Source organism: Homo sapiens, chromosome 9 (assembly GCF_000001405.40).
Source record: "Homo sapiens chromosome 9, GRCh38.p14 Primary Assembly".
Classification (NCBI taxonomy): Eukaryota; Metazoa; Chordata; class Mammalia; order Primates; family Hominidae; genus Homo; species Homo sapiens.
In genome coordinates this window covers 17,336,308-17,363,942 of record NC_000009.12, presented here as the reverse complement: position 1 = coordinate 17,363,942, position 27,635 = coordinate 17,336,308, and the positions used below count along the sequence as shown (strand labels likewise).

Sequence of the window (27,635 nt, the reverse complement as noted above, 5' to 3'; positions counted from 1 at the left end):
GAAAATAATTAATATCTTTCACATGCCAAAGTTTACTACTCATAGATCCTAGATGAAAAAATCATTAAAATATATATTTTAAGAAGAAAATGTACTCAAAAGCAAGGTATAAAACAAAATAAGCAGTGATGAAGAAAGACACTAACAGATATATACAAGGAATTAAATAAACATTTATTATCTAAAGCAATCATAGCAATATCTGAATGAGCTAAAATAAGGTAGAACTAACATTCTCAACAACAAAACGATATTGGATCATCAAAGATACCATAGTTAAACATTTCAAGGTCCTTGTATTGTAGGAGGATACAGCTAGTGATGAACTTTAGACTTTGTCAAATAAATGATGTATGTTATAATTTCAAGAATAATTATTTAAAGAATAAAAAATAAATATAAAAAATAAAAATTAGAGGTCAGAAGAGAAATGAAAAAAAAAACTGTATCAAATCAAAGGCAAGAAAGTCATTTTTAAAAAGGAGCATAAGTCAAAACTACAATGAGATACCATCTCACGCCAGTTAGAATGGTGATCATTAAAAAGTCGGGAAACAAGAGATGCTGGAGAGGATGTGGAGAAACAGGAATGCTCTTACACTGCTGGTGGAAATGTAAATTAGTTCAACCATTGTGGAAGACAGTGTGGCGATTTCTCAAGGATCTAGAACCAGAAATACTATTTGACCCAGCAATCCCATTACTGGGTATACCCAGAGGATTATAAATCATCCTACTATAAAGGCACACGCACTTGTATGTTTGTTCACAATAGCAAAGGCTTGGAACCAACCCAAATGCCCATCAATGATAGACTGGATAAAGAACATGTGGCACATATACACCATGGAATACTATGCAGCCATAAAAAAGGATGACTTCATGTCCTTTGCAGGGACATGGATGAAGCTGGAAACCATCATTCTCAGCAAACTAACAAAACAGAAAACCAAATACCGCATTTTCTCACTCATAAGTGGGAGTTGGACAATGAGAACACATGGACACAGAGAGGGAAACATCACACACTGGGGCCTGTTGGGGTATGGGGGACTAGGGGAGGGATAGCATTAGGAGAAATACTTAATGTAGATGATGGGTTGATGGGTGCAGCAAACCACCATGGCACGTGTATACCTATGTAATAAACCTGCATACTCTGCACATGTATCCCAGAACTTAAAGTATAATTTTAAAAAAAGGAGCATAAGAAAATAAAACGTGCAAGAAAAAAATTAAAAATAAAGATAGTCATCACACAATGATCAAAAATGATTTACCAGGAAAATACATTAGTTCTAGACTTTTATGTACTCAACAACACAAGTTGTTGTAATTATTGTTATAATTATTCAAACAATAAAAAGTTATTTGAAGTAAAAATTAGGTAGCCTCTCCTTCCCCTCACTCAGTATACTTCCTGGAAAAAAAATAATGTTTACACTTTGATATGTATACTCTCATTTTTTGTTCATATATTATAAACATCAATTCACACACATAAGGATTTTAAAAACTGGGATCCCATGATATATACTGGCAGCTTCCCAGGTCCATTACAGATTGATAGGAGGAACACATACACATGCACACACATACACTCAACCACACAATGATTAAGCTTGGATTAGGTTCCTGATTTGTTTATTTAAGAACGTGGAACATACTGAAGCAAGATGGCCCCACAAAGAAAAAGCAGGTGTAACTTACCTCAACTTAGTTTTCCTTGGCTCTCAGATCACTAACCCAACAGAAGGTAGGGCTGCAGTTGTTGGAAAAGTTATTTCTTGCTTCTTAAAACATACTTTATACTTACAGCTTGTTTCTTTTGGAAAGAACACACACAGTCCCTACTTTTAATAAATATTTACAGACATCAGGGACCACCTTGTTCTTGAGTCAAACTAAGCACCAACAAACCATATCTTACTGTGTGTTTGAGGGAGGAGCTGACAGAGGCAGAGCCCTGGTACTCCTGACCAGGATGAGCACTGACTAGCTACTGACTCTGATTTACTATCCACTTACACTGGTGTTTCTTATACTCTGGTATGAGGACCACAATTTAAAATCTATTTCTTACTGGACAAATGATAGGAAACAACTGTATTCGGCCACTGGACAATAGGCAGCACAGAACTGTAATCCCTGAGAGAAAGCAAATAAACAGAGAGAGCCCTTAATGATGGCTCGATTTCTGCCTGAAAGCACTTTCCAGACAGGGAGAGGGGTCCCAAGAAGAACATGACAGTCTCATTGAGTTGAAACAAGAGACTGCAGTTTAGGAAGTCTAAAACAGCCAGAATTTGTGAGGCATATGACCAAGTGAGGAGGAATCTACAGTGGAAAAAAGCTAAAGAAATCTGCATAAGAATTCCTTTGAGTATGTGGCTAATCTTTATTTCTTTTTTTGCATGTGCATAGTATGAAACACAACAAGGCCAGGCAAAGAACAACAGGAGCTATAAACAGAATATTCCCAGAATATTTCTCACACAGGATTGGGATACATTTGAGTTGCGACCAGTCAGAGAAGAGAGAATCTTAGTTGAACATCAGAGGCATTCAATAGAGAACACAGATGGGTCATTCTAATGAGTAGAGATAAACAAGCCTCTAGTAAATGATACTCTAAAACCTGTGCTAAAAAAGTGTTTTAAATGAACAATGAGAACACATGGACACAGGAAGGGGAACATCACACACTGGGGACTGTTGTGGGGTGGGGAGACGGGGGAGGGATAGCATTAGGAGATATATCTAATGCTAAATGAGGAGTTAATGGGTGCAGCACACCAACATGGCACATGTATACATATGTAACAAACCTGCACGTTGTGCACATGTACCCTAAAACTTAAAGTATAATAATAATTTAAAAAAATGGAAAAAAAACTGAAGATATTTAAACTGAGATTTTAACACACCTCTCCCAGTAATTGATGGAAAAAGTGGACAGAAATAAGTAAGGATACAGAACATTTGAAAAACACTATCAAAAAACTTGACCTAACTGAATGTTTTATAAAACACTCCATACCCAACAACAGCAAAACAAATATTCTTTTCAAGTGCCATGGAACATTCAACAAGATAAGACCACATGCTGGGCTATAAAACAATTCTCAGTAAAGCTAAAAGCATTTTAAAATCATGCAAAGCATCTTCTATGACCACAATAGAATAATAAAATTAAAAATAAATACCAGAAGGACGTCTGCAAAATCCCAAAATAGTTGAAACTAAAGAACCTATTTCTGACAAAGAGGTTCTGCTTAACCAATCTTTAGTCAACTCTCCTGAACCTTCTCCTAAGCCCATCTGTGCACTTCCTTGTAAAATCCAGTCTTAGCAAGGAACTCCACTAAGTCAGTTTAGCAAGAATCTCTTCCACCACAATATATAAATCAAGGCCAATATCTAACTGGGTTCCTCATCCTCCACCACCCCCTAGGCTGTATCTGATCACCCTAGCCTGTCTTCAATCAAAATCCTGATAAGGTCAGTTTAGCCAGAATCTCCCTTCCCACTGATGTTTCCTCTTACTAATTTTCCAATCCACTGACCTCTACCTTAGCTATAAATTCCCACTTACCCATGCTGTATTAGGAGTTGAGTCCAATTTTCTCCCCAACTGCAAAATCCGACTGCAGTGGTCCCTACCTATGATGATGGTCCTAAATAGTCTTCTTTACCAAACTTTAACAAGTTTCATTGAATAACATTTTTCTATAATGCTTCTAAACAGTTCTACTTTCAAAGAAGAATCCAAGAGGAACTAGGAATTATTTTGAACTTAGAAAAATTTAAAATACACTTCAAAATTTGTAAGGCACAGCAAAAGCAATCCTTAGATGGATATCTATATTGCAACATACAATACTTAAATTGGAAAAAAAGAAATATCCATAATGATGCAAGCTTCCAATTTAAAAATCTAGAAAAATAAGACACATCAAGATGAACACTTTTTCATGTGCTTATTGGCCATTAGTATGTCCGTATGTCCTCTCATTTGTTTATTTTTATTATTATTTTTTTTTTTGAGACAGCCTCACTCTGTTGCCCAGGCTGGAGTGCAGTGGCAAGATCTCGGCTCACTGCAAGCTCCGCCTCCCAGGTTCACGCCATTCTCCTGCCTCAGCCTCCTGAGTAGCTGGGACTACAGGCGCCCGCCACTACACCCAGCTAGTTTTTTTTTTTTTTTTTTTTTTTTTGTATTTTTAGTATAGACGGAGTTTCACCGTGTTAGCCAGGATGGTTTTGATCTCCGGACCTCGTGATCCACCCGACTCGGCCTCCCAAAGTGCTGGGATTACAGGCGTGAGCCACCGCACTCGGCCTGGATGTCCTCTTATGTGAAATATCTGTTCAAGTGTTTTGCTCATTTTTCTATTGGGTTGACTGTCCTTTTCTTATTTAGTCACAGGAATTCTTCATATATTCTGAGTACTACTACTTTCCTGGACATATATACTGAAAATATCTTTTCATACTCAGAAAGTAGCCTTTTAATTCGTTTAATGGTATTTTTTAATGAACATTAAGTTCTTGGTTTTAACATAGGCCAATTTATCAATTTTTCATTTCTATTTAGTGCTTTTTATGCCTGGTTTAAGAAATTGGGCAGGTGCAGTAGCTCACACCTGTAATCCTAGCACTTTAGGAGGCCAAAGCAAGTGGATTGCTTGAGCTCAGGAGTTTGAGACCAGCCTGGGCAACATGGCATAACCCTATCTCTACAAAAGTACAAAAAATTAGCCAGGCATGGTGGCATGCGCCTGTAGTACCAACTACTTGGGGGGCTGAGGTGGGAGAATCACTTGAACCCAGGAAGTTGAGGCTGCAGCAAGCTGAGATTGTGCCACTGCACTCCAGCGGAGTGACAAAGTAAGACCTTATTTCAAAAAGAGAGGGGAGGGGAGGGGAGGGGAGAGGAGAGGAATAAATATTGGCCTACTACAAAGTCACAAAGATGTTCTCCTATGTTTTCCTCTAAAAGCTTTACTGCTTAACCCTTCACATTTAGACTATAATCAATCTAAAACTGACTTTTGGGTTTGGAGTTGGCTAAAATATTCTATTAAATAGGTTTTTTTGGAATTTTAGCTATGTAGCTACATCATCTGCTATTTTGGTTGTCTCCAAATTTCCATAATTACAAACAATGCTGTAGTGAGCATTCTTGTATATGTGCTCATATACAAGATTCCTTTTAGTGTTTCTAACTAGAAGTAGAATTATTACTTTTTTAGTACATACTTTAAAAAGTAGAAAGCATATTTCAAACATTAAAAAAGTATGGAAAATAATATAATCAACATTAATGTAACAACTAGATTTTAAAATATTCACATTATGCCATATTTAATTCATCACTTTGATTTTTGATATATGTATGTGTATAGTGTATATGTAGTACATACACACGTGTACGTCTACATGTGTGCAGTTATGTGTAACTATATTTTTACAAATGTGTATGTCTACATATACATCTACAAAAATATATAGTATCATTTTGTGATTTCTAAACATTTTACACTTAGAAATTATATCATAGTATATATACTGTTATTCAACTTTCTTCTTTTCAATCAACTTTTGCTTTTTAAGCATTTCTATTTTGATAAGTTTAGATCTAGTTTATGCATGTTAAATGCAGTAGAGTATCAAATTATATTAATGTATCACAATGTATTTGTATCTATCACTAAGAGACATTTAGATTGCTTCTAATTGTTCACTATTACCAAACTGCTGCAGCGAACACCCTTATTCATGCATCCTGTTTCACTACCTTTAAAAACATCATAAGAATCTCTTTAAGAGTAAAATTTTTCTCTCAAGGGTTTTTATATTCCCTAGATAAAACTACAAATATTGGAAAATATATTACCAAATTTAAAACTTTTTTATATCTGAAGATAACTTTACCTGTAACATTCCTACATTTGATTATATATCATTCTTTTCTTCAGAACAAAGTTTCTTAAGAAGCAACTAATCTACACTGAAAACAAACTGTTCTAAAGCCTGAAATACTTTCCAGACTAAACAAACCCTTTGTATCAGTTTCCTGTCATTCAAAATAAATTTTATTATTTAGTCATTAGCATTCAATTCAGATGTTCAAACCCAACATTGTTAAGGTTATTTATTCTAAAGAAAAAAATACTATCAAATAGAATGAGTTCGTGTGACAAAATTGACTTATGGAAAGTAACTTTGCTGTCTTTTCACAGAAAAATCAAATGATTATAACACTCAAGATTTTCTTATGTAATTCTTTAAGAAAATTTAAAAATACTATATATATATGTAGTATTTATATATATATGTAGTATTTATATATATATATATGTAGTATTTATATATATACATGGTACCCAAAATATGTGGAAACAAACTATAGTAGTAAATAAATTTAGAATAATATATGTATGGCCTCAAAAAATAAATATCATATGTATATGGACTCATGTCTGAATACAACCTAAGGGATAAACATTGAAAGTTAATCTCCAGAGTTACAAAATAAAATTCCAAAATATACTTGCCATTTACTCAAGTGATATATCTGCCTGTGGAGGATACAAAGAATCCTGTTGACTTTATAGCAAAATACAAATTAGAATACAACTAAAAAATATAAAAGCTGGAACATGGAAAAAACCCAAACATCCATCAATGGCTGAATAAACAAAATGTGGTATATACATAAAATGAAACATTATTCAGCCTTAAAAAGTAAGGAACTTCTGGCACATGGTTCAACAAGGATAAATCTTGAAGAAATAGTAAATGAAATAATCCACATACAAAAAAGACAAATATTAAATGATTCCACTTACATGAAGCACCTAGAATAGGCAAATCCATAGAGACAGAAAGCAGAAAGAGACAGGGGCTGTGAGAAGTAGGAAATGAGAAACAAATATGTATATATACACACACACACTCATAATACATTCTCACCTACAGTGTAGGCTAATTGTACAGCAAACAAATGTGTAAATCATTTCTATATTTTAGGTATATGGGGAGGGCAGGAAACAGAAAGGGGAAAAAGTGGAAAGAATAAGGGGAAAAACATAAAAATGGAAACGCATAGAAGAGCTTTATCTTCATATTAATCACAATTTTAAATTACATATCTGTATGCTTATTGATTACTATTTGCATTCTCCAATAAGTTGAAGCTCTATGAGGCCAGGAGCCATGTGTGTTCTGCTAAATATTTTACTTATAGTGCCCAGCATATTTATTGAAGTAACAAAGGAAAGCAAAAGCAGCACAAAAGGTCACACAGATTCAGTTACATGTAACTAATATTATAAAACTCCATAGTTTAAAAGCATTTTCCCATATATTATTTTCTTAGCTATAACGGTTTACCTGGTCCCAAGCCCTAGTACTTTTAGAGCATCAAGAGTCACTGCTCAAAGCCTATCTATAAGTCATGTTGCATCAGACTCTGAAGCATTCAAGACATAGAAAAGAGGAATATAATTGACCATAGGCTTCAGTACTCTAACTTAGCAAATAATTAGGTTTTAGGTTAATCTTATTCTGAAACTTTCCACTCTTACCTAGGGATAATTAACAGATGAGTTTACTTCCTCTGAGCTACAATCTTAGTGTATGAGTTTCTTGTGCTTGATTATCAATCATAAAGTAACTAACATTCAAAACTTTTTGCCACATAGCCTTGAAGTTCATTGTCTTTCTTTAAAACAGATCCTGATAAGAAAAACTTACACAACTCTTGATTAAACTATTATCTCTGACCTTAATATTCTGATTTGCTCTTGACTTATGATATGCAATGCTTTTTCCTGTTGGACTGATTTCCTTTTTCTTTTTTTTTTTTTTTTTTGAGATGGAGTCTCGCTTTGTTGCCCAGGCTGGAGTGCAGTGGCGTGATCTCGGCTCACTGCAAGCTCCACCTCCCAGTTTCACACCAGTCTCCTGTCTCAGCCTACCGAGTAGCTGGGACTACAGGCGCCCGCCACCACACCTGGCTAATTTTTTGTATTTTTAGTAGAGACGGGCTTTCACTATGTTGGCCAGGATGGTCTCGATCTCTTAACCTCGTGATCCACCCGCCTCAGCCTCCCAAAGTGCTGGGATTACAGGCGTGAGCCACTGCGCCCAGCCTGGACTGATTTCTTAGGCACAGATACATTCAAGTTCTTATCTTATTAATCAATCTCATTAATTATTGCACATAATCATACTGCCTGTTTTCTAAACCTACAGAAATTATTATTTGGGATAACTGAGTATCAACCTGTAAAAAATGAAACTGGACCCCCTACTTCACACCACATATAAAAAATTAACTCAAAGTAGATGAAAGGCCTAAATATAAGAGTTAAAACTATTAAACAACTACAGAAAAACATGAGGATAAATCTCTGACTATGGGATTTCATTATGGATTCTGAGATTATGACACCAAAAGCATAAGCTACAACAAGAATAAACAATATGTACTTCATTAAAATGAAAAACTTTCATGCATCAAAGGATACTATCAAAAAGGGGAAATATAGCCTACGGAATGGGAGGAAACTCTTGCAAATGTCTAACATCTAGAATATGTAAAGAACTATGGCTGGGCACGGTGGCTCACACCTGTAATCCCAGCAGTTTGGGAGGCCAAGGCTGGTGGATTACTTGAAGTCAGGAGTTCAGGACCAGCCTGTGTTGGCAACATGGCGAAACCCCGTCCCTACTAAAAACACAAAAATTAACCAGTGTGTCCGGAATTGGTGGGTTCTTGGTCTCACTAACTTCAAGAATGAAGCTGCGGACCCTCGCGGTGAGTGTTACAGCTCTTAAAGTGGCGCGTCTGGAGTCTGTCCCTTCTGATGTTCAGATGTGTTCCGAGTTTCTTCCTTCTGGTGGGTTCGTGGTCTCGCTGGCTCAGGAGTGAAGCTGCAGACCTTCGCGGTGAGTGTTACAGCTCTCAACACAGCGTGTCTGGAGTTGTTCCTTCCTCCCGGTGGGCTCGTGGTCTCGCTGGGCTCAGGAGTGAAACTGCAGATCTTGGCGGTGTTACAGCTCATAAAAGCAGTGTGGACCCAAAGAGTGAGCAATAGCAAGATTTATTGCAAAGAGCGAAAGAACAAAGCTTCCACAGTGTGGAAGGGGACTGGAGCGGGTTGCCAACGCTGGCTCGGGCAGCCTGCTTTTATTCTCTTATCTGGCCCCACCCACATCCTGCTGATTGGTAGAGCCAAGTGGCCTCTTTTGACAGGGCGCTGATTGGTGCATTTACAATCCCTGAGCTAGATACAAAGGTTCTCCACGTCCCCATCAGATTAGTTAGATATAGTTTCCACACACAGGTTCTCCAAGGCCCCACCAGAGCAGCTAGATACAGAGTGTTGATTGGTGCACTCACAAACCTTGAGCTAAACACAGGGTGCTGAGTGGTGTGTTTACAAACCTTGAGCTAGATACAGAGTGCCGATTGGTGTATATTTACAATCCCTGAGCTAGACATAAAGGTCCTCCAAGGCCCCACCAGACTCAGAAGCCCAGCTGGCTTCACCCAGTGGATCCCGCACCGGGGCTGCAGGTGGAGCTGCCTGCCAGTCCCGGTGCCGTGCGCCTGCACTCCTCAGCCCTTAGGTGGTCTACGGGACTGGGCGCCCTGGAGCAGGGGGTGGTGCTCGTCGGGGAGGCTCGGGCTGCACAGGAGCCCATGGAGTGGGTGGGAGGCTCAGGCATGGCGGGCTGCAGGTCCCGAGCCCTGCCCGGCGGGAAGGCACCTAAGGCTCTGTGAGAAATTGAGCGCAGCGCCGGTGGGCTGGCACTGCTGCGGGACCCAGTACACCCTCCGCAGCCACTGGCCCGGGTGCTAAGTCCCTCATTGCCTGGGGCCGGCAGGGCTGGTCGGCTGCTCCGAGTGCGGGGCCGCCAAGCCCACGCCCACCCGAAACTCCAGCTGGCCAACAAGCACCGCACACAGCCCGGGTTCCCGCTCACGCCTCTCCCTCCACACCTCCCTGTAAGCTGAGGGAGTGGGCTCCAGCCTTGGCCAGCCCAGAAAGGGGCTCCCACAGTGCAGTGGTGGGCTGAAGGGCTCCTCAAGTGCCACCAAAGTGGGAGCCCAGGTAGAGGAGGTGCGGAGAGCAAGCGAGGGCTCTGAGGGCTGCCAGCACGCTGTCACCTCTCAGTGGCACACGCCTGTAATCCCAGCTACTCAGGAAGCTGAGGCAGGATAATTGCTTGAAACCAAGAGGCAGAGGTTGCAGTGAGCCAAGATCACACCACTGCACTTCAACCTGGGCAACAGAGCAAGACCCCGTCTCAGTTAAAAAAAAAAAAAAACGAAAACAAAACTATTACAATAAAAAAAGATAAACAACCCAGTTTTCAAAATAGGTAAAGGACACGAACAGACATTTCTCCAAAGATGATAAACAACTGGCCAAAGAAACACATGCAAATATGGTCAGCATCATTACTCATTAAGAAAATGCAAATCAAAACCCACAATTTTGGCGATAATAAAGAACAAAAATAATACAAAACAAAAACAGACCATAACAAGTATTGGTGAGGATGTGGGGAAATTAGAACCCTCATAGACGGCAAACAATATAAAATTGTGCAGCCACTGTAAAAAAAAAAAAAAAAAAAGTTTGGCAGTTCCTTAAAAAATTAAACATAAAGCAGGGTACTATCGCTCATGCCTATAATCCCAGTACTCTGGGAGGCTGACATGGGAGGATCGCTTGAGGCCAGGAGTTCAAGACTAGCCTAGGCAACAAAGTGAGACCCCGACCCTACAAAAAATAGAAAAATAAAAAACAAACATAGATTAGCATGTGGCCCAGTGATTCCACTCATAGGTTTATACCCAAAAGAACTGGAAACAGGTATTCAAACAATCCCTTGTATACAAATGTTCATAGCAGCACTATTCAGAGTAGCCAAAATGTGGAAGGAACCCAAATGTCCACCAAGGGATTAATGGAGAAACAAATTGTGGTATACATAAACAAAGGGATATTATTCAGCCATAAAAAAGTAATGAACTTTTGACACAGGCTTCAATGTGGATGAATCTTGAAAATATTATGCTAAGTGAAAGAAGCCAGACACAAAGGTCACATATTGTATGATTCTATTTATATGAAATATTCAAAATAGGTAAATCCATAGAAACAGAAAGCAGATAAGCGGTTGCCAGCAATTGAAAGAAGGGACAAATGGGGAGACAGAGACTGACTGGTTAATGGGCATGGGGTCTCCTTCAGTGGTGATGAAAATGCTTTTGAATTAAAGTTCACTGCTAAACAACACTGTGAATGCACTAAATGCCACTGAATTCTATGCTTTAAAATACAACTAATGTGAAATTTATATATTGTTAATGGTTACCTGAAAATACATTTGTTTTCAAAATATGTCATCATTGGCAGACATTTTTTGCTAAGCATTTTCTTTCCATCTCAGAAAAATGCAGTTCCTAAAATCCTCATTTCTACATACCAAAAAAAAAAAAAATATATATATATATATATATATATATATTCTAGCTTGAGAAGATTGGGAGTCTTGCTTTGCAGAGGAAAAAAATAATGGCTGAACTTTCCTAGGATAATATTTTGATTTTAGCTACTTAAGCAATTATTATGGATTTTATAGGATATTCTTTAAAACTATGGCCAACATATATTTAATATTTAACCCCAAAGAGAAGTACTCCAATCCGAGCTATGCCACTGATCTGTAGCTTACATTTTATCATTAAGGAAAAATGACCAAAAGATCATTGAAATAAAGAAGATATATCTACTTATAATACATGGGGGTAAAATTTCCTACTTCTATGAAATAAAAAAGTTTTTGTATTATGAATTCAAAACCCCTTTACTACTGACTCCAGCTCAACTGCCTTCATTGACAAACTTGCCACCCAGAATTCTCAGTATCAGCTAGGAAAACATTAGTAATTCTGTGCAAGTATTTTGCATTCTCATACTTATTTTTAGATATGAAACAAAAGGGAAAGCAGAAATTGTAAAAAAATAAAAGGGGGGAGCTGATATTCAAGTGTGTTATATAATGAACTCAGATTTGCTTAAAGAGCAATGGAAAGATACTTAAAGTTTTTAAACAGATGAGAGACATTCTCAGAACTATAGTTTAAAAGGTCAATCTGCAGCACTGTTGAAAATAGATATGAAGAGATAAGAGTGGATGCAGATGTTTATGAGTTTATTCTAGTTGACTAGGGAAGAAATGGTGGTGGTATGAATAAGGGCGTAACAGTGAGGATGGAAAGAAATAAGATAGGATGTTTGTGATGTGAAATATTAAGGCTTAGTATGGACTTCAATGAGGGGAGGTCAGAAAAAAAATAATACATAAACTTATAACACCATGGTTTCTGGTTTGAGGAAACTGATAGATTATAATACCATTTACTAAGATTTAGAATAATGGACGGGAATAAATTTGGAGATCGTGAATTTGGTTTCAAACATGTTGAATCTCAGTGAGACCTCCAAAAGGAGATGTTGTGTAGACATTTGGATATACTTAGTTGCAGTTCAGAAAGAGGGTTCTATGCTAGATATACAGGTCTGAAAGTCAACTGGCAAGAAATGACTAAAATCATGGGATGATAGATGACATTGTCATAGGCAAATATGCAAATGAAGTACAGAGAACGCCTATGACAAAGTTCAAAAATACTGCAACAGTAAACAGCTGATTTCAGGGGGAAAAGCTGGCAATGGAGAATGTGAATAGGTGGCCAGAGGTACAGAGATAAAACCAGAAGAGATGGTGCCAGAGTGTTGAAGAAAAAATTTGTTTTAAAGAGTGTGACCAGCTTTTTCATATACTGGCGAGAATTTGAAAAAGTATCCTTTAGTTACCTCCTGGTTATTTAACAATTTACCTAGATTTTTCTGTCTTTGATTTAATTATGCTTAACAAATTGTAGTCTAAAATATTGATTGCTATGAACTTAATTACGTCCTCTCAAAATCTGTATGTGACATATGTGTTATATATGACATATGTTGGTCAGCTGTAACTGTGTTCATACATCAGATTTGAACTCAGCTGAAACTCTAACCCCTAATGTGATGATAGTCGGAGATGGGGACTTTGAGTAGCAATTAGGGATAGAAAGGGGTCCTCATGATGGACTGAGTGGCTTTTTAAGATGAGAAATCTGAAATGTGATAATACACTGAGAAAGCAGCCATCTACAAGCCAGGAAGAGAGCCCTCATCAGGAACCTAATCCATCGGCACCATGATCTTGAATTTCTCAGCCTCCAAAACTATCAGAAATGCATGTCTGTTAAGCCACCCAGCCTATGGCGTTTTGTTATATCAGCAAGAGATTTGCGTTACCTCTTTTTCCACTCACAAGCAGAATACAGCTTTCCCTGCCTTGTGTCCCTAATATTCTCTTATTATTGCTTTTAATCACACTTTTGCTTGTCTTCTCTGCTAAGCTATGAGGACCTGATAAAAGGGGTAACATTATTTCTCTTTGTTTACCTGTGCCTAAAAAAGTACCCATCTAAAGCATTTTACATAGGCTACAGATTAGTATAGAAAGACCTATTACTAAACCACTGCACATTTCTGATTTACTTAGCCAAGGTCACAGAAAACACACACGAATGTCAGTACACCCAGGATTCCTAGCAAAAACATGCAATTGTGGTTGACAATGTGTAATATATAATTTGCTGGATTAGAGAAGCTTAATTTTCTGCTGCACTTGAGCCCCTTATTATAGTTTTATATCACCATTCTGAAAGAATGTACACAAACTTTTTTTACTAATACTTTCACTTGGAAGAATGTTAACATATGTTGGACTGTGATGGGTACTTCATCTAATTTAGCATTGGTAAGGCAACAACTTCAACTGAGTGAGAAAGCTGACTAAGCCTGCTGGCATTTCTGAAAGCTTGCCTCTTACTATCTAGCTTCCAAAGAGTGGTTTCACCTAACTAGCAAATGGCAGATACCCCTATTTAAATTAAGCCTTCCTAGAGCTTGAAACTATACTGTATGTTCAGCCCCTGGTTAGTGCCTGGCTCTGAATTATATTGTTAAAATATTGAATGAATGAATAAATGAACACATGAATGCTCATTAAATACTGAAGGAACCAGCCAATTTATCAGTTCACAGATTACTAAGTTCTTGGCCTTTTTATTAAAATATAGTTATGATATGATAGATATATCTTATAAATATAAATGAAATATTATAGGAACTATATTCCATGTAAGTTTTTTAAGTCCTCAGATTCCTATGCGATAGCAGCAACTAATATTTCCGACCATACTCAATGGTAGAAACTCTATAATTTCAGTCAGTGGTAGCATTATATTTTTAACTATATTTTGTAAATTGATGTACAGTTGTCATACAATGTTTTATAAAAGTCTTTAAAAGTTAACTTTTAAAATTCGATTTGGAAGTACTATTTAAATTCAGTTGAAAGGTAGTATTAATAGTATATCTTTTTTTGTAGATTCTAACCTTACATTTAAAAGAAACATTATTGCAGAAAAAGGGGTACATCTTATTACTTAAACAGTTAAGACTGAGTATGAAACTAGATATTAATGAATGACTCAAAAGTAAGACTGCCTGGCCCATAGAAAAACAAGCTGAAACTTCTGTTTCCCAACAAGGAGTAGATGTATTTATCTCTATTCCTCCTGCTAATTAATTATAAAAACCCAGAACATAATAAAACAAACATGAGACTTTGAAAAGTAGGGAAAAGAAGAAGGATAGAATAGGGAGCTCAGGAGTAGTGGAACAACATTAGAGAAGTGACTCACAGTGGTGAGTTCCTTGAGTTTTCTTCTTTCCTCCTACCTACCCCAAGCTAGTTCCTAGAGAAACTCACCACCTAGAAGTGCCAATGAACAGAAACAAAAAATGCTTCAAGGAAAGCCTACTCTCTCTAGCCAAAGGTACAGGAAAGGTGAGGACCAGTAAAACAAAAACCCTGCTCACCATGCCCACCCTACTCCAGCCATAATCAACTAGGGGGAAAAAACAAAACAAAAAGCAGCCATGCTCCGTCAATGAAAGCAGAGTGAGGGCCAGGCACGGTGGCTCACACCTGTAATCCCAGCACTTTGGGAGGCCAAGGCAAGTGGATTACTTGAGGTCAGAGCTCAAGACCAGTCTGGACAACATGGTGAAACCCCATCTCTACAGAAAATACAAAAATTTGCCCCGCGTGGTGACGCATGCCTATAATCCCAGCTACTAGGGAGGCTGAGGCAGGAGATTTACTTGAACCCAGGAGGCAGAGGCTGCAGTGAGCCAAAATCACTCCACTGCACTGCAGCCTGGGCGACAGAGCAAGACTCCGTCTCAAAAAAAAAAAAAAAAGAAAGAAAGAAAGAAAGAAAGCAGAGTGAGAAGCCTGCACTTTCACCAACACTAAGCAGGAACCCCTTCAAACTCTCTCGATGCAATGTCAGCAGAGGAAAAGAGGTAAAAGGGAGGAGTAAGTCTCCCATCTTTTCCTAGTAGTATTGACGTGACCTTCTCCCTCAGGCATGATATCATCAGAGGCCTGCTAAAATAAAAGATTTAAATAAGATCCACAGTCTCAAAATAGAATACACATAATCACTGATTTACAATGCTTCTCCTTAACGATTTTTCAACTTTATGATGGTGTAAAGCTTTTGCAATTTTAACGTACTTCAAATTTTGAATTCTGATCTTTTCCCAGGCTGGCAATAAGTGACGTACGACATACTCAGTGCGTTATCATAAAATGGGTTTTGGTGGGCGCAGTGGCTCATGCCTGCAATCCCAGCACTTTGGGAGGTGGAGGCAGACAGATCACTTGAGGTCAGGAGTTCGATACCAGACTGACCAACATGGTGAAACCCCGTTTCTACAAAAATACAAAAAATAGCCAGAAGTGGTGGCTAGCATCTATAGCCCCAGCTACTCAGGAGGCTGAGGCAGAAGAATACCTTGAACCCGGGAGGCAGGGGTTGCAGTGAGCCAAGATGGTACCACTGCACTCCAGCCTGAGCGACAGAGCGAGACTCTGTCTCAAAAAATATATATAAATAAAATAAAATGGTTTTGTGTTAGATAGTTTTGCCCAACTGTAAACTAATGGAAGTGTTCTGAGCATTTTAAGGTAGTCTAGGCTAAGCTATGATGTCTGGTAGTTTACATGTATTCAATACATTTTCTTTTTCTTTTCCTTTTTCTTTTTTTTTTTTTTGAGACAAGAGTCTTACTGTCACCCAGACCCAGGTTGGAGTGCAATGGCATGATCTCGGTTCACTGCAACCTCCACCTCCTGGGTTCAAGCGATTCTCCTGCCTCAGCCTCCTGAGTAACTGAGATTACAGGCGTGCGCCACCACACCTGGCTAATCTTTGTATTTTTAGTAGAGACAGGGTTTCACCATGTTGTCCAGGCTGGTCTCGAACCCCTGACCTCAAGTGATCTGCCCGCCTAAGCCTCCCAAAGTGCTGGGATTACAGGCATGAGCCACTGTGCCCCAGCAACATTTTTGACCTACGATATTTTCAACTTATGATGGATTTATCCGGACATAACCCAAGGTAGGTTGAGAAACATCTGTAGTCCACATGTCCAGGAGACAATTAAAAAATAATTCATCATACAAAGTACAAGGAAAATCTATAATCAAAGGATGAAATTATATTCAAAGGATGCCACCACCATGATATAACACATGTCGGAATTACTTGACAAGAACTTTAAACCAGCCATGATTAAAATGCTCCAGTGAACCACTAAAGAACACTCTTAAAATAAATTAAATAGAAACTCTAAGCAAATAAACAATTATACATAAAGAAGAACCCAATGGAAATTTTAGAACTAAAAATTACAATAGCCAAAATTAAAAACTTGCTGCATGAGCTCATGAGAGAAGAGACAATCAGTAAACTTGAAGACACGACACAATAGAAATTACCAAATCTGAATAACAGAGACAAAATTAGGTTGAAAGGCTGAAAAATAAATTGAAGAGACCCTCAGTGACCTGTAGGACAATCATAAAAGATCTAGCATTCATGTGATTAGAACTGTCAAAGGAAAAGAAATGTAGGGTTTAAAAAGGATTTAAAGAAATAATGACAAAAATTTCCCAAATTTGACAAAAGTCACAAACCTAGGGATTCAAGAAACAGAAACCCAAATAGGATAAACCCAAACAAATCCATGCCAAGACATGTTATGACCAAACTTCTGAAGAGTAAAGAAAAGGAAAAATGATTGAAAGCAAGTAAACAGAATGATGCATTACCTATTGTGGAACAAAGATTCAACAGTGCATGTTGCATCAGAAACAATAGAGGCCAAAAGGAAGTAGCAAATTTTTCAAGTGCTGAAGAAAAACAATTGCTAAGTTATAATTCTACATATGGTGAAAATACCATTCAGTAGTGATATGGTCTAGCTGTGTCCCCACCCAAATCTCATCTTGAATTGTAATTCCCATAATCCCCATAATCTCCTAGGTGTTCAGGGAGAGACCTAGTGGGAGGTGACTGGATCACGGGGGCAGTTCTCATGCTAGTGAGATCTCATGCTAGTGTGTTCTCATGTGTTCCCCATGATTGGATCATGGGGGCAGTTCTCATGCTGTTCTCATGCTAGTGAGATCTCATGCTGGTGTGTTCTCATGCTAGTGAGATCTGATGGTTTTATATGGGACTCTTCCCCCTTCACTTCTCACTCCTCTCCTCTGCCACCATGCGAAAAAGGTCCTTGCTTCCCCTTCACCTTCCACCATGATTGTAAGTTTCCTGAGGCCTCCCCAGCCGTGTGGAACTGTGAGTCAATTAAATCTCTTTCCTTTATAAATTATCCAGTTTTGTGTATTTCTTTATACTGTGAAAACAGAATAATACAAATAATGAAGAAGAAATCCAGATATTTTAAAAGAAAACAGAGAATTTCTTACCAGCCAACTTATTTTAATAATTCTAAAGGAAGTTCTTCAAACTGAAAGAAAACTATAAAAGAAGAAACTTGGAAGACTAGCAATGAGGACAGTAGAAAGGATAAACAATACCTCTATTATATTTACCCATACATAAATTATTTATCTCTTATGGGTAAACATAAGAGACGACCCATGTTTTGTGGTTTATAATTATGTTTGACAGTTGAAGCAAAACCTATCACATCTTGTGATGAGGTTCTCAATGTAATTAGAGAAAATATTTGAGATAACTGTATTATAATGGAGAAGGGTAAAGGTATGTAAATGAAAACAAGGTTTCTAGATTCCACTTAAAGTAATAAAATGTTGATACCAGTAGACTGTAATAAGGTATGTATGCATAATATAATACCAAGAGCAAATACTAAAAAAAAAAACTACTCAAAAAGATATAGTCAAAAACTCTACAGAAAAAATAAAATGAAATTCTAAAAAAAAGCTTAAGTAACCCATATGAAGGAATTAAATGGGAAACAGAGGAAACAAACAGGAAATAAATAATAACATGGCAGACTTAGCTCTATCAATAATGCAAGCTAAAATGTCAGCATGCAAAATATCCATACACTAGCAATGTAAAATTTAAAAATGATATGGTTTGAAACTGGATTTCATAAAAATTAAAAACTTTTGCCATTCAAAAGACACAGGTAAGAGAATGAAAGGGCAGTCTACAGAATGTAATGCAACTCCTGGGCATTTCCCTTAAAAAATAAAAGTTATGTTCACACAAAAACCTGTCTATAGCAGCTGTATTCATAATTGCAAAAAACTAGAAAAAACCCAAATGTTCTTCAATAGATGGATAAGGTGGTCCATCCATAAAATGGAATATCATTTAGCAATAAAAAGGAACATATTAGATTAACCAACCCAAAAGAATCTCAAAGACATTATGCGGAAAGAAGCCAGTCTCAGAAAGTAAATAGCCTGTATGATTCTGTGCATATGACAGTCTGAAAAAGGCAAAGCTATAGGGAAGGAGAACAAATCAGGTATTAGTGGCGGTAGGAAGATTTGACTACAAAGGGGCAGGATGAGGAAATTTTTTGAGATGATAGAACTATTTTGCATACCGATTGTAGTGGTAGTTACTCAAATTTATATATATGATATAACTCATAAAATTGCACATTAAACATTCAACATACTACATACAATGTTAAAAAATTTCTGTCCTCAAAACAAACTTGAATGACTATAGCACTGATATTTAATGCCTTATTGTTTTATCATGACACTTTTGGACATTAGTTTTTAACATTTTTGACATTTATTTTTAACATCACATTTCATTAAGAATGTTTAATACTAAACATGTTTCCATGTAAGTTCCCTGAGAGTAGAAAGTCTGTCTGGTATTCTCATTTCATTGACCTAGCAGACTGACTATCACACAGCGCTCAAACAGGTTTGTTACCTGAATAAATGTTTCACAAAATAATGCAACCCTCCCCCAAAAAAGCTTACGTTAAAGTTTATTCCATTCTTTAGCATTCTTTTAAAAATTTTTTCCTTACCTGTTACTAAATTAAGACTGATCTAAAAAATAACTATTTCACAAATTGCTCTCACATTAATGAATATTAACATATTTCAGGGAAAAATTCCACACTTTAAGAATGACACGGCATTTAATTCAAGGAGCTATTTGTAAAGTGCAAATATTGCTAAGTGAACAGATCAGGATTCTGAGTTCTCTAATTTTAAAAAGGCCTCATTACTTTTTCTGTAGTTCTATTTCATTAACAAATAAAATAAACTCCAAATCAATCATTTATAGGTAATCCTTCCTAAATTTTCTTGAATAGTTAGATTAGGTCTCTCAACTAATTCACTTTATTCAAAATTACTTTCTTTTTTAGAGACAGAAGGGTCATTAAAGATCATCAGATAAAAGCATTGATACATTTACAACATGGATGAACCTTGAAAACGTTATGCTAAGTGAAAGAAGATAGTCTAGGACCACGTACTAAATGATGCCATTTATATGCAATGTCTAGAATAGGCAAATCTGTAAACACAGGAAGAAGATTAGTAGTTTCCTAGGGCTGGGCAGGATGGATGGGAGGGCTGGGGAGTGACAACAAAGTCATATGGGCTTTGGTGGGGAGAGTAGCGGGGGGTGATAAAACTGTAAATCTAAAATAGATTGTGATAATGGACGGTGCAGCTCTGAATATACCAGTGAATTATATACGTTATATAAGTGAATTGTATGACTTGTGAGTTATATTTCAATAAAGCTACTGAAATTATTAGGAAATGCCTCTGAGACAAATCTATGAGTCTATAAAATAGTTTTCAAGATAAGAGCCTTCATTATAGCATCAAATATTTAGAACTAATAGAGTATACTGCACTTTAAGTGGTAAATGGGAGCATACAACATTTAAATCTCATATGGTCTAGTCATTTCCTCAAAAGTTTATCATTACATGGAAAAGGCTGTAAACAAAAGTTATACATGTTATCATGTAGTATATAAAATAAGCTTCTCATTTACAGCTAAGAAAATTCAGTGACATTTAATTACATTACACCATAATGAGGCTATATTCTAGCAATCTGAAAGACATCTAGGCTTTAAAAAACTGTATGCTTGAGTGTCAGGCATTAACTCTAAATGAAGAAATAGTTAAGTAGCAGAAGAGGTTAATTATATTGGTCTAACTCCTTTTAGTCTTAAAATTAAATAAATAAATGTTCTTTCTTTGCCAGGCTGAATATAATAGCCTGTGAATTATAAGATCAAGCGACCAACTGTATGTTTTCTAAAATATGAGTATCCTTCATCAAGTTTTATACTTAGGGCAGCTAAAACACCTATGTGGAAAAATCAGCAGTAAGCCCAAAGGACAGGCAGGGCACAGCAAGAAAGAAGGCAATTCCCTTGTGTCTTCTGCAGGTCACTACCAAGGACCATGTTAGCAGATCCACACCAGACCCTTAACAGGCAGTTCTGCTGCTACCAGTAATTAGCTTGGACAGCTCCAGCTCCAAGAGTAGCAGCAAGGCTACACCATAATGAGCTCAGCTGGGATTAGCAGGACAGGGCAGGGAACCAAGAGAGCTCAGGCATTCTGCATTGCGTATGTATCTAGGAGATCAAACAAGGATGGCTGGCTAGGTTATCCCCTCTCCACCTCATTCCAAAAATGAAGCACGGCAGCGTCTAAAATACAGGCTAATGAAGAGCGACACCTCCAACAGATGAGAGCCACACTAATTAACACAATCCCTAGATCATATTATCCAGTTTCTGTTAGAGCTAGCAACTGTGCAACTTGTTATTGCATAATACATATATATATTTTTAAAAGCTAGTCTTTTTTTCTTTACTTTTATTGGCAAAAATCAGATTATTTCAAATTTTATAAAGTGTTTCTTTAATAGCTTTTAAGCCATGAAAAAATTTCTCCCAAGTATTTTATCTAAGTCCATATTGTTAAAAATGAAACTCACTTTTGAATCATTAGCTCCTGGTTTTCCCTTTTGAAATATGCCAGTTCATTCCACACAGCGTCAGAATCTTCTTGTCGAAGTTGTTGGGGATCTGCTCTCTTTATTTTCCTGATTTCAGTCCTATTTTTAAAACAAAGTTGCTTTTTCAATTAACATGTCTGAAGTGCAATAAAAATTATTTTATACATTCCTTAAAATTTAAAAATATCTATTGACCAAATTTCTAACTCGAGTTCACCATTTATTGAATGAATTTCCTAAAACCTAAGCATGTAGAAATCAAAACCCTCTATCATAATTTTTTGAAGCTAAACTGCTACTGTGGAAAGCAAACTTTTAAGCAGACACATGATATTCTAAGGTCTATTGCTCCCATTCAGTCTAGTAGTAATGAAAACAGACACTGTAGAATTTTAACGGTCCCCCCCGCATACAAAAAAATCTATATGCAACCAACTCATCTGGAATTTGCTGCTAACCAAGATGAATGTGGTACAGATGCCTTTATCTTTTAAAAAAACTATTACCAGTGAATATGTCAGAAAGTAGATTTCACTCTTCTAATGATTAGTTAAGCTGGGTGAACAGAGGATAAATCTAGGACAAACTGCTTTATCACTGCTTTACTGACAAGTGATACAAAACACTTCCACTCATCAAAGAAAAAAATTAGATGTGACAATTATCTACAAGTGATGCCAAATGCCCTTTACATTTTCATTTTCTGAACATAAAACAAATTCTTCATTTTTATTTTGTAAAAGTGCCGTACTGGCCAATTTAGAAACAGTATTTCTCTACAGAACAGACCAATGTGTATCATCAACATTGCCCTAAAGGATCCATCTCAAAAGATGAGAAGGTAGTAGATTTTCTGTACTCATTCAGTCCTTTGCCCTCTGTTGATACAGTTAACAGGGGAGCCACTTACGACTAACCAAGATCTGAACACCTGTTCAGAGCAATTGAACTGAGACCGCCAATTCATTCACATAAGCTGGAGAACAAACTGATGGATAGTAAAGATCTTCAAATTGCATACTAGGTTGAAGTAGTTTTAAGATAGTTAACTATATATGTGAATTTCATATTTCTCTAGTCTTTCCACTAAAATTTAAATACTTTTGGAGTTATAAACATTTTAACACCAGTATTTTATTTATTTAAAAGCAAGTTTTTCAATCACACGGATATTAACCATTTTTGCTTTAAATTACATAATTTTATTAAGTTATTCCATTGATATTAAAAATGTGTACAATAATTCATAATCATTGACTGCTAATGATATCTGCAAATGTGAGGAAAATCTATAGTTATTACCAACACATTCCTCTGTTTTAATTTGTTATATTCTCCATTTAAAAATTCACAATAAAGATTTGACTACCAAATAATTTCTTTAAAACCAAACAAAAGCCATTAAGACACCTATATAATGCTACTCCATTCCATTTAATATTTAGGGAAATGCCTTTATGAGCTATGTAACTCACATGCCACTGCCTTCTTCCCACTGTTTTAATTGCTCTTTTACTGCTCTGTAGTTGGTCTGTAACATCTGTAGCCGTTCCTTGCGTTTTTCATGGGCATCTCTTAGCTCATCATTTTCTTGGCTCTGTAGAACACAAAAAAGCAAGTATATATAAGTTTGAAGAAAGTATTAATATAATGTTTCAAATAAAAGGTTACCCATCTAAATATGAAATTTGAAAGAAAATAGTGTGTAAACATAAATGAATCTGTAATATGTATTTAAGCAGAAAAAAGAATTTCTCTAGTCACAGAATACATTTGCTTGATAAATTCAACTCAGTCAATGCATTTTTTAAGCTGCTCACATAATTTCAAAATTTTACCATTAAGATAGTTTCACTCCTTTCCCTGTTGTTAATTAGTATACATTCATAAACCTATCTTACATGTTTTTAATTATTTTCTTTTTCAGCATAAGGTTTTATCTATACATAAACCATGATTATTTTATTAAAGTGCAAATATAATTAGTATAAGAACATTAATCAGAGTAAGAACAATTATTTAGCACATGAATTCATAACTAATATTTACTAAGGCACAAGGATTACACATAAGGAAGAAAATGAGATTGGACCCTATGTTAGAAGGAGCATAGTTTAACCTTCTGGGGTTGTACCATGAAGAACTGGAATGGGAAAGCTAGGCTTACAACTCTTAAAGAGGTTATAAAACAAGCCATCCAAACATTGCTTTGTTGTGTCAATACCTAGGTTAGACAATTATAGTCAACTACTTCTTTTTTATTTATTTTTATTTTTCTGGAAACAGGGCTTCCCTCTGTGGCCCAGGCTGGAGTTCAAAGCTCACTGCAGTCTCAAACTCCTGGGCTCAGGCAATCTTCCCATGTCAGCCTCCCAAGTAGCTAGGACTACAGGCATACAGTATCACACCCAGCCAATTTTTTATTTTATTTTTGTAGAAACAGGGTCTCACTCTGTTGCCAAGGCTGGTCTCGAACTCCTGGTATCAAATGATCCTCCTGCCTCAGCCTCCCAAAATGCTGGAATTACAGGCATAAGCCACCGTGTGTGGCACAGTCAACTACTTCCAATATATAGCACATGAGATCAATTTTCATTTTTAGATATATATAAAATGAATTTATAAAGACGAAATTCTTAGTCCTCAGAAGATATATGCACATGACTATAAACTGTGTTTCTCAAAGTAAAATAAGTAACTTCTCCAGTTTCTTCCCTCATGAGAATTTCAAATATTTTAATAACTGTTATTCATATTTCTGTATGAATGAACTTGTATACTTATGTGGTGGAGGCAACAGATACTCTCTAATATTATAGTGAGGTGATATGAGTAGGCATATGGTAATCAGAAAGATCTGAATTCCATTCTTGGAGCTTGCTCCTGTTAGTGGCATTATCTTAAGAACACCATTGAAATTAATTCAAGTTTTTTCCTGCAAAATATGGAAGAGAAAAAAGAGGTTTAAATTTTGATGAAATAAGTTAACCTAGGTGGTGGGGCCCCAGCCCTTTTAAGGACACAAAGCAAAAGTTAGCTTCTTTCAGTCTCCTTTTCCCACATGTTAACAGTGATGCCCTTATCTTTTAGAAACCAAGTAACTGTTTCTTGACCTCTCATCTAAACAGTGAGATAATACTTTATAGAGTCTGCATTATTTTACTGCAATTCTAGCTGTCTTAGCAGTATGGGTAGTCTGTCATTCTACTTTCACTATATTTCTACTAGGATAGTTCTCTTAAGTAGTTATTAAGAAGTATTTGAGTCTTGTTTGTAACAAGAAGTGTTCTATATGCCGTACAGAAATGAAAGTGCTTGATGAAAAAGCAGAATGGATTCAGTTGACAAAGGCATTCAAAATAAATGTTTCCTAAGTAGTTTTAGAAGATATACAAATCACACATAATGCAAATTTGCTAAAGTAGGATAGTTTAATATATGAAGTAAAAGTAAAAACCTCAGGTTACTGAGTTCAATTTTGTTCATTTCAATTTAAGAACCATACATGAAGAGTCTATTACACGTAGGATGCTGTGTTGATAAGAGTTCAAATCTAGCTGCTCAAAGTTAACTAAATTTTACTTTGATCTAGTTACTTAAATTCAGTTAACTCAGGTTATCCATCTTCAAAATAGAAGCTATTTATATCTCTTCTTCTAAGACATAGAGAATAATTTAGTCTTGAACTTGAGTTTTTCATATTAATTTGGTTAACAATCCAAATACTACTTAATGTCTTTGAACAAAAAGCTTTCTATTGTTAAGTATGTGAAATAAATAATTTAAGTTAGCAAAACAAGAGATTAAAAATTAATAATGTTGGTACCTTCTCATATATGAACATGAGTTAATTATGTTTATTGAGATTGCTTAAAAACTAGAAAACAATATTAGTGATTTCAGCAAGACATATTAGAAATTTATTAATAATTTAATTATAAGAAATTAATAGGCTGGACACAGTGGTTCATGCCTCTAATCTCAGCACTTTGGGAGGCCGAGCCAGACAAACCACTTGAGGTCAGGAGTTTGAGACCGGACTGGCCAATATAGTGAAACCCCATCTCTAAAAAAAAAAAAAAAAAACAAAAATTAGCCAGGAGTGATAGCAGGTGCCTGTAATCTCAGCTACTCAGGAGGCTGAGGAAGGAGAATCGCTTGAACCCAGGAGGCAGAGGTTGCAGTGAGCAAAGATGGCGCCACTGCACTGTACTACAGCTTGGGCGACAGAGAGACACTCTGTCAAAAAAAAAAGAAAGAAAAAGAAAGAAAGAAGAAGGAAGGAAGGAAGGAAGGAAAGAAGGAGGGAGGGAAATTAACAGACTATATTGGAAGAGATTCATGTCAAAACATAATTTCAAAAGAAACTTAAACTAAAATGTGTATCTTATGTTAAAGACTTCTATGATAGCTTTCTATAATTATTCTTCATTGAATCAAAGTTCTTCCCTCAAACTCTTATTTTACAATGACTTTCTTAAAAATTATTATATATAAACTGTTTGGGGAATGACTAAAGTTTTTTGTTAGAGTCATCAGAAACTGAGTAAATAGAACCTCAAAGATTGACCAAGATGTGAAAATAAATAGAATAGGATGTACAAATTTTCTCAATTACTTTCACAATGATTCTCTGTTAAATTCATGGAACAAACTGAGATTCTTATATGTATTGACACTATGTTAAGGATTTTTCAGTACTGCCTCAACTACCATTAGTCATTGAATTCATGTGTTTTCCCTAATTGTCCATAGAAACTAACTATATTACACCATTAAACCAAAGACTAAGAATCAATAAAAATCTCCTGAGCTCCATATGTCATTCATGATGTGCCAGACTCTGTACTAGGCACTTTAATTAATAAAAGCAGTGAATGCTGCCCCTTCTGATTCCCAAAGCTTTAGTGTAAAATGTTCAATATTACCAAATAATTTTGATTTTCCTATAGTAATTTCAATAAGTGGCTCTTTCCACTAAGTATTAATTACAGAAAAAATAGTTTTATCCTATGCAATACCATTCAGGACACAGGCATGGGCGAAGACTTTATGACTAAAACACCAAAAGCAATGGCAACAAAAGCCAAAATTGACAAATGGGATCTAATAAAACTAAAGAGCTTTTGCACAGCAAAAGAAACTATCATCAGAGTGAACAGGCAACCTACAGAATGGAAAAAATTTTTTGCAATCTGTCCATCTGACAAAGGGCTAATATCCAGAATCTACAAGGAACTTAAACAAATTTACAAGAAAAAAACAAACAACCCCATCAAAAAGTGGGCGAAGGATATGAACAGACACTTCTCAAAAGAACACGTTTATGTAGCCAACAAACATATGAAAAAAAGCTCATCATCACTGGTCATTATGGAAATCAAAACCACAATGAGATACCATCTCATGCCAGTTAGAATGGTGATCATTAAAAAGCCAGGAAACAACAAATGCTAGAGAGGATGTGGAGAAACAGAAACACTTGTACACTGTTGGCGGGAGGGTAAATTAGTTCAACCATTGTGGAAGACAGTGTGGCGATTCCTCAAGGATCTAGAACCAGAAATACCATTTGACCCAGCATTTAGAGAAATACCTAATGTAGGTGACAGGTTGATGGGTGCAGCAAACCACCATGGCACATGTACACCTATGTAACAAACCTGCACATTCTGCACATGTATCCCAGAACTTAAAGTATAATTTTTTTAAAAAAAGGTTTTATAGATGAGCCTTCTGCTTTAATTTTACTTGCTTAATTTATTATATCTAACAGCAGAGTGTTTACATAAGTCTTATAAAATTATCAAAATCTAAACTATTAAAAATAAAATTCAACTAGCTATTATTTGCAAATCATTTGATAGACATAATTCATAAGAAAAAATCTTTTAAAATGCAGTTTCATCCAAAGATTCATGTTTGGGGACGCTGCTGTCAAAGTGTAAATCATGCATTAAATTAGTCCTAGAGACTATTGTTCCTTTATCTTACTTCAGCAATAGAGAGTAAAGTTTTATAAAAATGTAAATATAAGATAGATACAGTTCAAAGAAAAACACTTCTTCATTTTAATGGCGCCAGAATACATGCCAGCTGAAGTCATCCATCAAAAG

The 27,635-nt window shown here is 36.3% G+C and overlaps 1 protein-coding gene across 19 annotated transcripts in view, besides 1 other annotated feature; it reads right to left on the bottom strand.

Moving 5' to 3' along the window:
* The window catches only part of CNTLN (centlein), a 393,595-nt gene that overhangs the window by 164,692 nt on the left and 201,268 nt on the right, over nt 1-27,635 (bottom strand). For 17 of the 19 annotated variants that reach the window (XR_007061321.1, XR_007061322.1, XR_929282.3 and 14 more), the window contains 2 exons: nt 22,995-23,116; nt 21,499-21,618 (listed from right to left, as the gene is read on the bottom strand). Coding sequence is in view for 14 of the 19 variants with exons in the window: in XM_017014839.2 (XP_016870328.1) it covers nt 21,499-21,618; nt 22,995-23,116 (242 nt within the window). In the remaining 5 variants the exon portion in view is untranslated. Of the gene's footprint in view, nt 1-21,498; nt 21,619-22,994; nt 23,117-27,635 lie in introns of those variants that run through there. The other 2 variants (XM_017014846.2, XM_047423522.1) reach the window with 2 other exon arrangements.
* Nucleotides 9,773-10,288: an enhancer, noted in NCBI's record as "H3K27ac-H3K4me1 hESC enhancer chr9:17353653-17354168 (GRCh37/hg19 assembly coordinates)". NCBI's record gives its function as "activates a minimal SCP1, AML or CMV promoter by ChIP-STARR-seq in primed H9 embryonic stem cells {active_cell/tissue: H9 hESC(primed)}" and the evidence as "EXISTENCE:reporter gene assay evidence [ECO:0000049][PMID:30033119]".